Source organism: Homo sapiens, chromosome 1 (genome assembly GCF_000001405.40).
Source record: "Homo sapiens chromosome 1, GRCh38.p14 Primary Assembly".
NCBI lineage: Eukaryota > Metazoa > Chordata > Mammalia > Primates > Hominidae > Homo > Homo sapiens.
Genome location: NC_000001.11, coordinates 184,727,635 through 184,741,100, shown reverse-complemented (window position 1 = coordinate 184,741,100; position 13,466 = coordinate 184,727,635). Strand labels below are relative to the sequence as shown.

The 13,466-nt window shown below is 34.3% G+C and overlaps 1 protein-coding gene across 5 annotated transcripts in view; it reads left to right on the top strand.

Annotated features, from left to right (window-relative positions):
• The window catches only part of EDEM3 (ER degradation enhancing alpha-mannosidase like protein 3), a 64,622-nt gene that overhangs the window by 13,758 nt on the left and 37,398 nt on the right, over positions 1–13,466 (top strand). For all 5 annotated transcript variants that reach the window (NR_135118.2, XM_011510012.2, NM_025191.4 and 2 more), the window contains 4 exons: positions 3,390–3,490; positions 4,037–4,076; positions 6,458–6,570; positions 8,111–8,264. Coding sequence is in view for 4 of the 5 variants with exons in the window: in NM_025191.4 (NP_079467.3) it covers positions 3,390–3,490; positions 4,037–4,076; positions 6,458–6,570; positions 8,111–8,264 (408 nt within the window). In the remaining variant the exon portion in view is untranslated. The remainder of the gene's footprint in view (positions 1–3,389; positions 3,491–4,036; positions 4,077–6,457; positions 6,571–8,110; positions 8,265–13,466) is intronic.

Genomic DNA, 13,466 nt, shown 5'->3' with positions numbered 1-13,466 from the left:
TTTAAACAAAAGACTCATTAAGAGTAGTTTAAACAGTGCTTTCTTTGCTGCCTTCTCATTGTATAACTTCAGTTACAGAGGAGGCATCTTTTCTATACTTGGTGAATTGGCATACTCCTTTCTAAATTTGGATCAGCTTCAAATATTTTGTCCTTTGCTCTTTCAGTGTCATGAAATATCTGAGGATTTCTTTAATGGGAAGTTTTTTTGTGGGCATAGCTTTTTCTGTGACATCTTCAACCTTTATGTCACAACCACTTTCTTAATGTGTGTCAATAACTTGGCCTTTATTAAGTTTCTGTGGCTGCTTATCTGTAGTCTCTTGAATGGAGAAAGTGTCGACATTCCCATGGTCAGCTAAAATTTGTTGATAACCTCATTTATGTTCAATTCAAATTTCACTTCGTGTTGTCACCTTTTATTTCTTTGCCAGACTCTCATGTTTGTTGGCTAATTCTCCTTTGTTCATTTTTGTAAACTATTACATAGGATTATCACGGGGCGACTAGGAGGCAACATACACTCACCTCTGTGTGAACTGAGTAAACAGAGTGATCATTCACTTGACAGACTTTGAAAGAAGTAATGTGATTGATCACTGATCATGATGAGCATGTTATTTACATAGTGATTTGTGGACTAAAGAGCTAGCATCAAAGTTTGTGTTTTACGTAATTACAGTTAATATATCATGATAACTGAAATTTGAACCATGTTGTTGGGTGTGTAACAAATTTGTAGTAATTGAAACTTGTGTATAGTGAGACCGTACAAAGTGAGACTCCCTCTAATAACATAACTGACAAAAATCCTATATTGAGGGGGAGAATTATGAGTATGTTAATCCTATTATTCTTGGTGCAGGGAGTTAGTATTACCTAAAGTTGAAACATGTACTTAACACGATTCTAACCTCAAAATATTTCTCATAATTATATTTTATTAATTTTAGAGGAATGTTTCAGAAACTGTCTCTTGGTGAAGGAAATATAAAGATCAGCAGGTCTTTATGGTTTTTATTCTTTTCTGTTAAGACCCGTGGCAAGTAGGTAGAAATGTTCTAGTCCAGTTTCACAAAAGCAACCACCCAACTTAAAGAGCCTAGCCCTGGCTCGTGGCCATGTATGCAGGGCCACCAGCATCAACTCCTATGTCCTTTGGGCATTAACATAACTCCCGCTAAAATCTGTCTTTATTCCTAATACCCATGTTGTGGTCAGTGCAGCTTTATCTTCTATACTCCACCGTTTAATTTTGGTACTTGAAAATTTCTTACTCTCAAGCTCAACTATGTGTTAAAAAATAATTTATAACATTTATTTAGCATTTCATTGTGTTTGTAGTGGGTAGGGAAGGAAGATTCCTCCATGTACTTCATTACCATCTACACCAGAAATGATCTGTCATGGTCATTATTAAAATAACAAAAATCCCAGTAATCCAAACTATAAAGTACCTATTAATAAATATTAAGAAATATGTGCAACCTATAGGATGAAACTGAATTCATAAAAGAAGATCTGAATTAATACAGTGACCTACTGTATTCTGAGAAGGGAAGGCTCAGTTGCTAAAGATATCAATTCTCCCCAAATTCAGTTCTTCCAATTAAAATTTCAGTAAAATTTAAGGAAATATCAAAGTTCTCCAGAAGGGTAAACTTAATAAAATAATTTTTATATAATAAAATAATGGTTTATTGATTTTAATGATAAAATAATTAAAATTTAATTTAATTTTTATAATTAATGATTTAAATTATTACTTTTAATCTTAATTATTTTAATGATAAAATAGTTATTTTAATAATTAAAATGAATTTAATTAAAATTAATTTAAATTTAATTATTTTATTAAAATTAAAATAATTTTAATGATAAAATAATTAAAATAATGGTTTTGGAGTAGGAATAGGCAAATAGATCTGTAGAATGAATAAATACTACAGAAATGTGTTCGCAAAAAGTTTAGAACTAATGAACCCAATATTTCAAGCCATTGGGGAAAGGATGGATTGTTTTAAAAGTAGTATTTAGAAAATTATCTATTTTTGGGGAGCAAATGCAGTTACATTCCTATTTCATATTATAAATGAAAATAGATTCCAGATGGAGTAAATATCTAAATATAAAAAAAGTATAACAGTGCTATTTTCAGAGGTTCAGGGTATCCTTTTAAGCATGCTTGAAAGCCAGAAACCATAAGGTGAAAGCAAGATAAAGTTAAAAGCCAAACAAAAGAGAAAAATGTTTACTGTGTGTGACAAACATAATGTATGAGAGTCTCTTGTGGCCAAAAAAAGCAACCAATGGAAAGATGGGCAAAAGATCAACAGACATTTCAAAAAAGAAATAACAATGGATAATACAAAAAGATGTTTATCCTTATTAGTAATGAATCTTTAGATACCATCTTTTACCTAGGAGTTTGGCAAAATGTGAACTATTGATCATTTCCTATGTTAGTGAGAATGTAATTGAGTGTAGATTGGTGTCCTCAATTTGTAGCATTTACCAAAAATTAGTTACACATACCTTTGACCCTAATGGGTCTATTTTTAGGTATCTGATACATAGAAATACTGGCATATGTTCAAAAGATACATGCACATAGGTGTTTATTGCTTCATTGTTTGTATAGAAAAAAATTGAAATCAACCTCCATGTTCATCAGTAAAGGGATACTTTGAGGAATGGGTACTGCTAAGGGGATAGACTCTGGAGTCAGGGTACCTGGCTTTGAATTCTGGATCATTTACTAGATGTGTGATCTAGGCTTACTTAACTTCTCTGGGCCTCAGTTTTTTCATCCATGAATTAGAGATAATTGAATCTACTTCAGAGCATTGTGACAATTAACTAAAATATATAGATAGAATATCACTTAGAATATAAGTACTCATTAAATATTAGCTAATGTTATCAGTTTGTAGTTATTAGAATAGAGTACATCTGTAACATTCTAAAAACGTGGGAAGAAAACTCCATTATTTAAGTGACAAATGTTAGAGCAATATGTGCATATGGCATGAACACCTGTTCATAAATAAAATTTTAGAATAATATATGTGTATGTATTTGAATGTATGTGGGATAAATCTGGAAGGATAAATGCCAGTCTTATCAGTAGTTAGCTCTAGGAAGTGAGATTGGGGAGGGGAGGGGAAGCAGATTATCAGTTTTTTAAAGAAATTTTTTGGTATTGTTTGACTTTTTTCCAAGCATGTATTACATTTGTAATTAAAGATTTTTGAAAAGATTCCACAGGGTGTAAATTTAGTACAACTTTTGACTATTATTTTATTTTTTAACTGTGAAAAAGTTATGTTCTCAAAATGATGTGTGCTTTCGCTTATTTTCCTTAGTAACTTACTAAAGTTTTCCTTGCAGGAACATGCTTACCCTGCTGATGAACTCATGCCTTTAACCTGTAGAGGTCGAGTTAGAGGCCAAGAGCCAAGTCGCGGTGACGTTGATGATGCCTTGGGAAAGTGAGTATTAACACAGGGCATGGCATGGCATCTCAGAGTTCCCAAGTCTTAGACTTTTACAGACAGTTTACATATAATAATATTTCTAGGGATTGGCTAAATTTTAAAGACTGTTTTATGTATTACATTATGCTCCTTTATTCCCTTCTGTTATCATTTATAAAAGATTAATCAGTTTACATCTTGGATCAGAGAAAAGTTAGTTGTTAAGCTGCATATAACTTAAAATATATGTAACTTTTATGTAACTTTTAAAATATTTATAAAGTCATTAGCACATTGGACTGTTGATGTTTTAATATTTTCATTTGTTTTCAGAGCTAGTGAATGTTTCTATGACTCTTGAAGATACGTAGATTCATTGAACATAAATGTAAAGGCTTTTCAGTTTCTTTCAGAGCCTTATAGGTTTCATTGTACTATAGATACATGGAAGTACTAATTTATAGAAACTACCAGTCAATAGAATGTAGATAAGTCTACTTGTACATTCATAAACTATTTAGGATTCTAATGTTTTATATCTTGTTAACGCTTGTTTCTTAGATTTTCTCTGACACTGATTGATTCTTTGGACACTCTTGTGGTAGGTTTGACTCTTCTTGGATTTATTTTATTCATGATATGCACACTTAAGTATTATGAATATGATCATAACACAGTAAGTATGAAATAGAAGCCTTCAGAATTAAAGATGTTCTGATCTTTGCTTCTAAATAAATCTTTTACACTGTTGAGTTGATGATGTCAAATGGAATTATGTAATATAACAGAGATACCCAAATAATTTATGGGGATGTCAGCTTATGTAATGGCACCTTAATTAGGAAGGTCCTTTTTTCCCCCCTTTGGACAAGGAGGTTGAAGCTATTGGAAAAAAGTAACTTTAGAAAATATCATTGATGTTGTTCCATAATGACATGCCAAAATGATATCAAAATTGTTAAATTAGAATCTTTATATTGCTGTGTTCATAAGCAAAAAATTAATTTTTCCCAGCAGTGATTTTTAGCATCAGGTGATCACTTCTTGGTACTCCTTTTCAACCTCATATAGTACAGAAATTTATTTCTGGTTCAGGACTGTTTGTGATGACAGAGGGGAAAGATTGAGTTACAGATGTCATGATTTCTAAATACAGTATCTTTTTAGTTTTTTACTCTTAGATCATTATGGTATAAAAGTAGGCTTTTGTGAGAATTTTCCTTAAGGCATAATTCTCAACTTCCAGTTAATATCCCAAGTGGTGATTAATATTTAAAAAACAAAACAAAAAACCTTTGGGGTATCAGAAATTTTTTGGAACTGGGCTTCTCAATGTTGTTTCTGCATTCTTCTTTCACTGGAGTATTTTTTTTTTAAGAACGAAAATTCTCAACTCTAAAAGCAGCTTAAGAGGTTCACTTGTGATTTAAAAAAAATAGGTCCTCCTAAGTTATTCTGATTCAGTTGTTGTGGAGTGGGACTGGGCATCCCTTCCAAAGCTCTTTGGTTCAAAAAGATGTTATGGTTGAGAAAAATCACGATTGTTAGATCTTTTTAGCTAGTCAGGGTTTGAAAGTCACAGCTTCATTTTTTGGAGATTAATGGAATATGCAAACTATATTACAGTAACTATGAGAAAGAGAAAATACTGTGTGCCTTGTTTTTGGTTTATTGGCCTTAAAGAAAACATATGGAAGAGTCTGATTACAAGCTAGAAGAGTTCAAGAGGCAAAAATTCCCAGGAGATAAACCCAGGGAGAAGAATTAGATTAACAAAGTGATACTAAAATGTATATGTGTATGGAGGGTGGGGATAGTGGAACAGTTATGTCTCATTCCAAAAGTGATAGATGCACTGTATGTGCCTGCATTTATTACTGCCCACTTGATGTGGACTTTGAGATTGAGAAGGGAGAGCTGTCAGTTTAAAATCAGGTTTCATGTTATGTTTTAGTCAGGACTTACCCTAAATTTTACTTTTACTGAATTTAGGGAGATACTCTTATGGAATGTTTTATAAATTAGAATTTTTACGTATCAAATCAAGTGAAAAAGCACAACAAATTATTATCAAACAAGGAGAGATTAAACAGTTAAGTAAAGGAAAACTACTTTTAATGTACTTAGGCTCTAGGTAACATCTCATGGGCGGCCTTAATTTAGACTGAAAAATCATAGCAGCCTGTGTGATGACAGGGACTACTTTTGCTGCTCATTGCAAGAATCTACAAAATTCTTAGTTTAGTCAGGATTCTAGATCTGCATGGTTAATAGTTGTAATTATTTTAAGCACTTAAGTCAGACACTCTACTAAAATCATTTTACATACATTATCTTATTTAAGAAAACAACCCTATAAGAGTAGGTATTTCCTCTTTTTATAGATGAAGGAACAAGCTCAGAAATGGAAGTAAGTTGTCTGAGATCACAAGGGTAGTGAGTGAAACAACCAGAATTCAAATCAGGGCATGACCACAACATTGTATGACCACAACATTGTATAGCCTCCTTAGTGAACAGGGCATCCATGGAGTGAAGCTAGCAGGTGATGTATAGTTTAGGAACAATTGAACATGCCTTGAAGAAAGTGCTTTCTTCTGAGAATAAAAGCAACTTTTAGAATGTATCTGGTGAATAGGATGGGTTTTAATTTTGTTTTGACTTAGAAGCCAAATTCTACTAGAACTCACCTCATGTAGCCTGGGTCATTAAGAATCCAGTTAACAGGTCTGATGATGGTAGCTTCAAAGTCCTCATAATATTTCGGTGTATGCAAAGAAGTGTATAAAGATGCTGTATAATTAGATACTTAATTTTTTTAGTTTTAGACATTATTACATTTTTATAATATACTTAGAAATATTATTTGTGTATGTCACTTTTTAGAGTTTTAAAGTAGACTGACTTTTAATAGCTCATTCTAGGAACGTTTCTCCTTGTCTTGGTAGAAAAGAACTTTATTTCATAATTTTCTTCTCCCAGGTTTTAAATAAAACTAAAGAATTTGAAGATGCAGTGAGAAAAGTTTTAAGAGATGTTAATTTAGATAACGATGTAGTCGTATCAGTCTTTGAAACAAACATCAGAGTTCTTGGGTAAGTATGAAAGACACTAAAGCTATAATTTTATTTTATTTTTATTTATTTATATATATTTTTTGAGACAGAGTCTTGCTCAGTCACCCAGGCTGGAGTGCAGTGACAATCTTGGCTTACTGCAGCCTCCGCCTCCCGGGTTCAAGCGATTCTCCTATCTAAGCCTCCTGAGTAGCTGGGACTACAGGTGCATACCACCAAGCCCAGCTAATTTTTGTATTTTTAATAGAGACGGGGTTTCACCATGATGGCCAGGCTGGTCCCGAATGCCTGACCTTAAGTGATCTGCCTGCCTCGGCCTCCCAGAATGCTGGGATTACAGGCGTGAGCCACCACGCCCAGTCTATAATTTTAATATCAGAAAAGTTTAGGATATACTGTTTATTTCTTGATGGTAATCATGCAAGAAGTTTCCTGTGTTTAAAAGATGTAAGTTGGAACATTATGAAACACAGAGTCTGTGGCATTACCTTGTATTTAATCACTCACAGACGTCTCTAGACTGAAAGGTAATATCTGTATGTTGTTAAAAAGGGAATATAGGTTGAACATTAGTCAGCTTCATCACAGGTTTTTTCACCAGCTTACGTAGTTTGTTAACCATAGCCAAGCACCTCTTCAGGTAAGCCAAAAGAAACTGAATGTATAAGATTACCTCTCAACAAACAGTTTGAAATGCTCTTGGGCCTTTTTTTTTTTTTTTGGAGACAGACTCTCGCTGTGTTGCCAGGCTGGAGTGCAGTGGTGCGATCTTGGCTCACTGCAACCTCTGACTCCCTGGTTCAAGTGATTCTCCTGCCTCAGCCTCCCGAGTAGCTGGGATTACAGGCACCTGCCACCATGCCCAGCTAATTTTTGTATTTTTAGTAGAGACAGGGTTTCACCGTGTTGGCCAGGATGGTCTCGATATCCTGACCTCGTGATCCACCTGCCTCGGCCTCCCAAAGTGCTGGGATTATAGGCGTGAGCCACTGCGCCTGGCCAGGATATTTTGAAAAGATGAAATTACAGGATTTATTAGTTCAAGTTTCAATATTATTTAATTTTTATAGTTTTGATTAAATGTTATTGTAACTCCTCTTTGTCAAAGTGAGTCTACTCTTCAATTAAATGTAAGAAATTGTTATGTAGTTTTACACAGAGTTTATTAATCTAGAGCGAGAGGTTTTTATGTTTTAAATAATATTCTAAGTTAAAGACTTCATGGTGATACAACTAAATTTTTAAATTTAAAGTTTGTTAAAATATTTGTTAGATTTGTTAAATGTAGTATCTCGGATTTTCTTTAAGAAAATTAAAGCTATTTAAGAACGCAGAACACTTCACAACAGGATAGAATATCTAATTTTTTAAAAAATATATTGACTCTGTAATTGTAATGGCTTACCATAAAATGAGCAGTGTTAAGTAAATAATGTTTAAGTAATTTTTGTCTTTCCTTAAATATGTTAAATTGTATAACAAAGTACCCACACCTTTTTAGATGGTAACTTTTAATTGTCTATAAGATATGGATAATGTTTCATCTCTGTGATCCTAGGGGTCTTTTGGGTGGGCACTCCCTGGCAATCATGCTGAAAGAAAAAGGTGAATATATGCAGTGGTACAATGATGAACTTCTCCAAATGGCAAAGCAGTTAGGTTACAAACTTTTACCGGCTTTCAACACTACCAGTGGCCTTCCTTATCCAAGAGTAAGTACTTCTGAAAAATATGAGTCTTTATATACTTTCTTTGCTGTTTTACAAAATGAAGTTTTGTGATCAGAGCCATTGTTCTTCACCAGCTTGAGGCTGAAAAAAAAATGCTTCAAAGCTATATAACAAATTTATATTTTCATTTCAATTAACTGATTATACTTCTAAGTGATGTGATAATTAGATTAGTTTAAGCTTTAAAAAAGTTTTATTTCTGATTTCTGTGGGTACATAGTAGGTATATATTAATGGGGTATGTGAGATATTTTGATACAATCATACAATGCATAATAATCACATCAGGGTAAATGAGGTGGCCATTACCTCGAGCATTTATCATTTCTTTGTGTTACAAACATTCCAATTATACTCTTTTAGTTGTTTTAAAATGTATGATACATTTCTGTTGACTGTAATCGCTCTGTTGTGCTATTAAATACTGTATCTTATTCATTCTGTCTAACCTGTTTCTATACCCGTTAACCATCCCCTCCCTATTCCCCATCCCCACCACCTACCCTTCCCAGCCTCTGATAACCATTGTTCTACTCTCTATCTCCATGAGATCAATTGTTTTAAATTTTAGCTCCCACAAATGAGTAAGAACATTCAAAATTTGTCTTTCTATGCCTGGCTTATTTCTTTTTTTTGGTGGGGGGGAATGGAGTCTCCCACTGTCACCTAGGCTGAAGTGCAGTGGCGCGATCTCGGCTCACTGCAACCTCTGCCTTCCAGGTTCACGCCATTCTCCTGCCTCAGCCTCCCGAGTAGCTGGGACTACAGGCACCCACTACCACGACCGGCTAATTTTTTGTATTTTTAGTAGAGATGGGGTTTCACAGTGTTAGCCAGGATGGTCTTGATCTCCTGACCTTGTGATCCACCTGCCTCGGCCTCCCAAAGTGCTGGGATTACAGGCATGAGCCACCACACCCAGGTGCCTGGCTTATTTCATTTAACATAGTGCCCTCCACTTCCATCCATGTTGTTGTAAATGACAGGATCTCATTTTTTTAATGGCCAAATAGTATTCCATTGTGTATATGTAAAATTTAAGCTTTAATGTGTCATTACATTACAGATTAGATTATGCTGCAGAAGGAAGAACAGATGCTAGACCAGAACTTGGGCACAGAATTATTTGTGTAGAAGATATAATTGAAGCAGTTAGTATGTAGGTGTTAACTGTCCAAAGGAGAGGACAGAGAGAGAACTCACAGGACAGAGGGAGGGCATGAGGAGGAAGGACAGCCAGTGGAAAGTAAAGTACACAGAGATTTAAGAGGAGAACCGTGAAGTAGTGTAGTGTACAGTATTATAAAATCCAAAGAAGGGAACTTCGAAAGGAGGAAATGTTCTAGAAAACTTGAGAATTGGGTGCAAACAGAGCCTTGAAGTTGTAGTGAATAAAGAGGAAAGTATTCAAAGTAGGTGAAAGTAAATAGGAATGAACCACTTATTTTAAGATTTCTTCTGTGTTGATAGTTAAAGGAGAGTTGGCAATAAAGTCAGTTGAAGGAGTTTTATTGGTTTTCCCCTAAGAAAATTTTATATTTAAAGCAGAGGGAAAGAAGCCATTGAAGATGGAAATAGCTCTTCTGATTTATTTCTCATTCTTTATTAACACTATTACTCTCTCCCTCTTATCCAAGACAGATACCTCAGCCATTAGCAAGCTCTGTCAGTTTTTTTCTTTTCTTATGCCTGTCTTATTCTTTCTCTCTTGGTTTATGCTTCAGAGCACTTGAAAAACCAGTATCACTAAAATCTAATTTTTGTCAAATTATCTTCAAAAATTGTATGGCTCTTTTTATTGTATTGAGTGTCCCTTAACTTTCAGCATTTTTTGTAGTTTGGCAGTAGACTTTCTGACATTCTCTCTTATTTCCATATCCCAGTGAAATCATTGTTCCATTTCAGCTAGAACAATCTATAGTGTCCCCAGAGTCTCTAAGTTTTTTTTTTTTTTTCATTCCATGCCTTTAGGCTTACCATCTCTATCACCCGGCATAACTTCTCTACAAATATAAGTCAAATCAAATAAGGCTCATTTCCTCCATCAAGAAGTCATCCTTGACTGGAGATATAGCATGATATAGGGCAATGCTTTACCTATCAATTTAGTGAGTTGTGACTAGCACTTTTTAAAAATTAAACAGACTAGAATGAAATCTCTTCTTGTTTAAATTTCTAGTTGATATTTTAAATAGCTCTCTGGTAAACATTCTTTTTGTTTGTTTGTTTGTTTTGAGATAGTCTCCCTCTATCACCCAGGCTGGAGTTCAGTAGTGTGATCATTGCTCACTGCAGCCTCCAACTCCTGGGCTCAAGTGATCCTCCCACCTCAGCCTCCTGAGTAGCTGAGACTACAGGCACGTGCCACCATGCTCGGCTGATTTTTAAAAAAAATTTTTGTAGAGATGGAGTTCTCACTATGTTGCCCAGGCTAGTCTCAGACTCCTGGGCTTAAGAGATCCTCCCACCTTGGCCTTCTGAAGTACTGGACTCACAGATGTGAGCCATCATGCCCGGCCTCTGTGGACATTCTGATACACATCTTTTTATACATTTTTAGTTTCTTGCTTAGGATAAATTACTCGAAGAGGAAGTAATAAGTCACTGAGTAGGGAATGCTTTTTAAGATATCAGGTACTTGTTGCCCAATTGCTTTTCAGAAAGATTCTTTTTTACTTCTCAGTGTTGTGTAAAAGTACATGTGTCATTTAACCGTTACTGTATATTATTATTTTGCCAACTTAATGAGGAAAAATTGAATTATATTTTAATATGGATTTCTTTGCTTATTAGTACAGTTAAATTTGTTGATCATTTTTTTCTTAGCATATTAAATTAAAAGCAAAGTTTTTTAAACAATATATAAACATTTACTTAATTCAGTTTACTTTTAGTAAATACTTTTAGTTTTTGTTATAAATGGAGGTGTTAGATTTTGAGGAATCTAGCATTTCTTTACTTTTGCCGTAACATGAGAAGCAGGCAAGGAATTAAAACAGAAGATACTATGAGCGTTATGGTAAAACAGAGAAACTTATATTATTTTCTTATACTCTGAAGTGTCAAGAAAATTTTAAAAATGATTTTTTATAATAGGACAATAGAAGAAAAATAACTGCTGTCCCATCCTTTCTTATACATGCTTAGTATGCTTTTGCCCATGAAAATTTGTGTAATCAGTCTCTCTTAGATAAGCATATGTAATTGATAGTATTTGCATTAATGGTTTTAACTCAGAAGAATGTACTGTACAGAAATGGTATTGTAAGAGTTGGTCATTTTTTAAACTCATATATAAACTTTAGAGCTAGTACGTACTTTGTAATGCCATTTCCTCAAAGTTAATTAAAAGCAACTTGCCAGCTTTTCAGATAAGACCTCATTACAAACGTTGAGTAGATGATTATATCCATAAAATATAAGGTTAATAAGAATTCTATTATGATTTATACATATTTTAAGGATTTTCTAGTGTAGCAAAAAGACAGTGTAAACAAGTTTAGTGTAGGTAATTTATGCCTTTACTTTGCAATAAAAAAGTGTCCTTTTTAAAATTGCCTTGTGACTCTCAGGAACACAGAATTAGGAGGAACCAGATTCTAGATTGCCTCATGCTTTATTTTATTCCTACTTTCATCTCTTTTTTTCTTAAACCTCTCAAGAAAGCAGGACAATAAGCTCCTTATTACTAATTTCTGCAGTAATATATACTGCTACCAGTGCCATCTCTAAACCCAGTCATTTGAGTCCTAGTCAGGAGGACAAGAACCTATCTACCAGCCCCTAGATCCACCAGAGGATCCCGTAAGCAAAAAAAGCACTGAACCCTTCTTCCCTGATTTGTGGAAATGGTAGTGCCTCTTGGATGCTGAAATGCATCTTGGTTCTGCATTTAAAAGTTCTTTAATACTGGCTGGGCGCAGTGGCTCACACTTGAAATCCCAGCACTTTGGGAGGCCAAGTCGGGCGGATCACGAGGTCAAGAGATCGAGACCATCTTCACCAACATGGTGAAACCCCATCTCTACTAAACATACAAAAATTAGCTGGATGTAGTGGTGTGTGCCTGTAATTCCAGCTGCTTGGGAGGCTGAGGCAGGATAATTGCTTGAACCCGGGAGGTGGAGGTTGCGGTGAGCCAAGATCGTGCCACTGCACTCCAGCCTAGTGACAGAGTGAGACTCCATCCCCACAAAAAATTAAAAAAAAAAAAAAGTTGTTTAATACCACTTATCTTCAGGAAGGATACAAGATTTAAATGAGCAGATACTATAGATAATTGTGTTAATAAATAGTCCTTTTACAAATTTTATAGCAGTCATCTTGGGGTACAGTTCAATATACAAACATCTTAAGTATTATTGTACTAAAACGCTCATGATTCAAAGTATTTCCATTTTAAGGGAAAAGATACTGAAAGTGGAATACAGAGATGTTTATTCTTTTCTATTTTGCTTTTGCTTTCTTATGACTACTCTTAGACTTTGTCATTCTTAGCTCTCAACTACTCCCAATTCAGTGTTATTTCCTTTTCTGAAATTCACATTTTAGCACTTGTGGCTTCCATTTGTTTGGCACTTAATTTATGACTTTTCATTGTCAGTTATTTTCTCTATTTATATATCTGTCTTATTTGCTCTGTCTGGATTTTAAGCTCCTTGAGGACAAGGATCTATTCCTTTGTATATTATCATAATATCCCCCACATGGTAGGTAAGTAAGCAATAAATATTGATTAGTTGATTGTAGTAATTAATGGAACTGACCAGAAAATATTTTTCACTGTTGATTCTTATTGCAAATATTTGTAAAATTATACTTTACCTTAGTGTAATTCATGTGATTACATCTTTATTTTATTATTAAGGATTGCTTCATTTTAGGTTAATTATTCTTAGTATCAATTTTCAATTTTAGTTCTGTAGATAGGGATACAGGCAGCATAAGGGGGCAGGAGATACTTTTCATTCTTGTTTGTGGTGCAGAACTACCTAAAACTAGCTAATCCTACAAAAGTACAAATGGTAGAGATAATTATAAGTTTGGGAGGGGATGGAGGGGTACTGCTAGACTAATAGCACATGAAAATGTCTCAAGTGGCACTTTACAAAGTAAGATAAATGGCAGTACTGAGAACAACATTAACAGTGATCAAATCCCCATCTCTCACCTACGTTTTACATT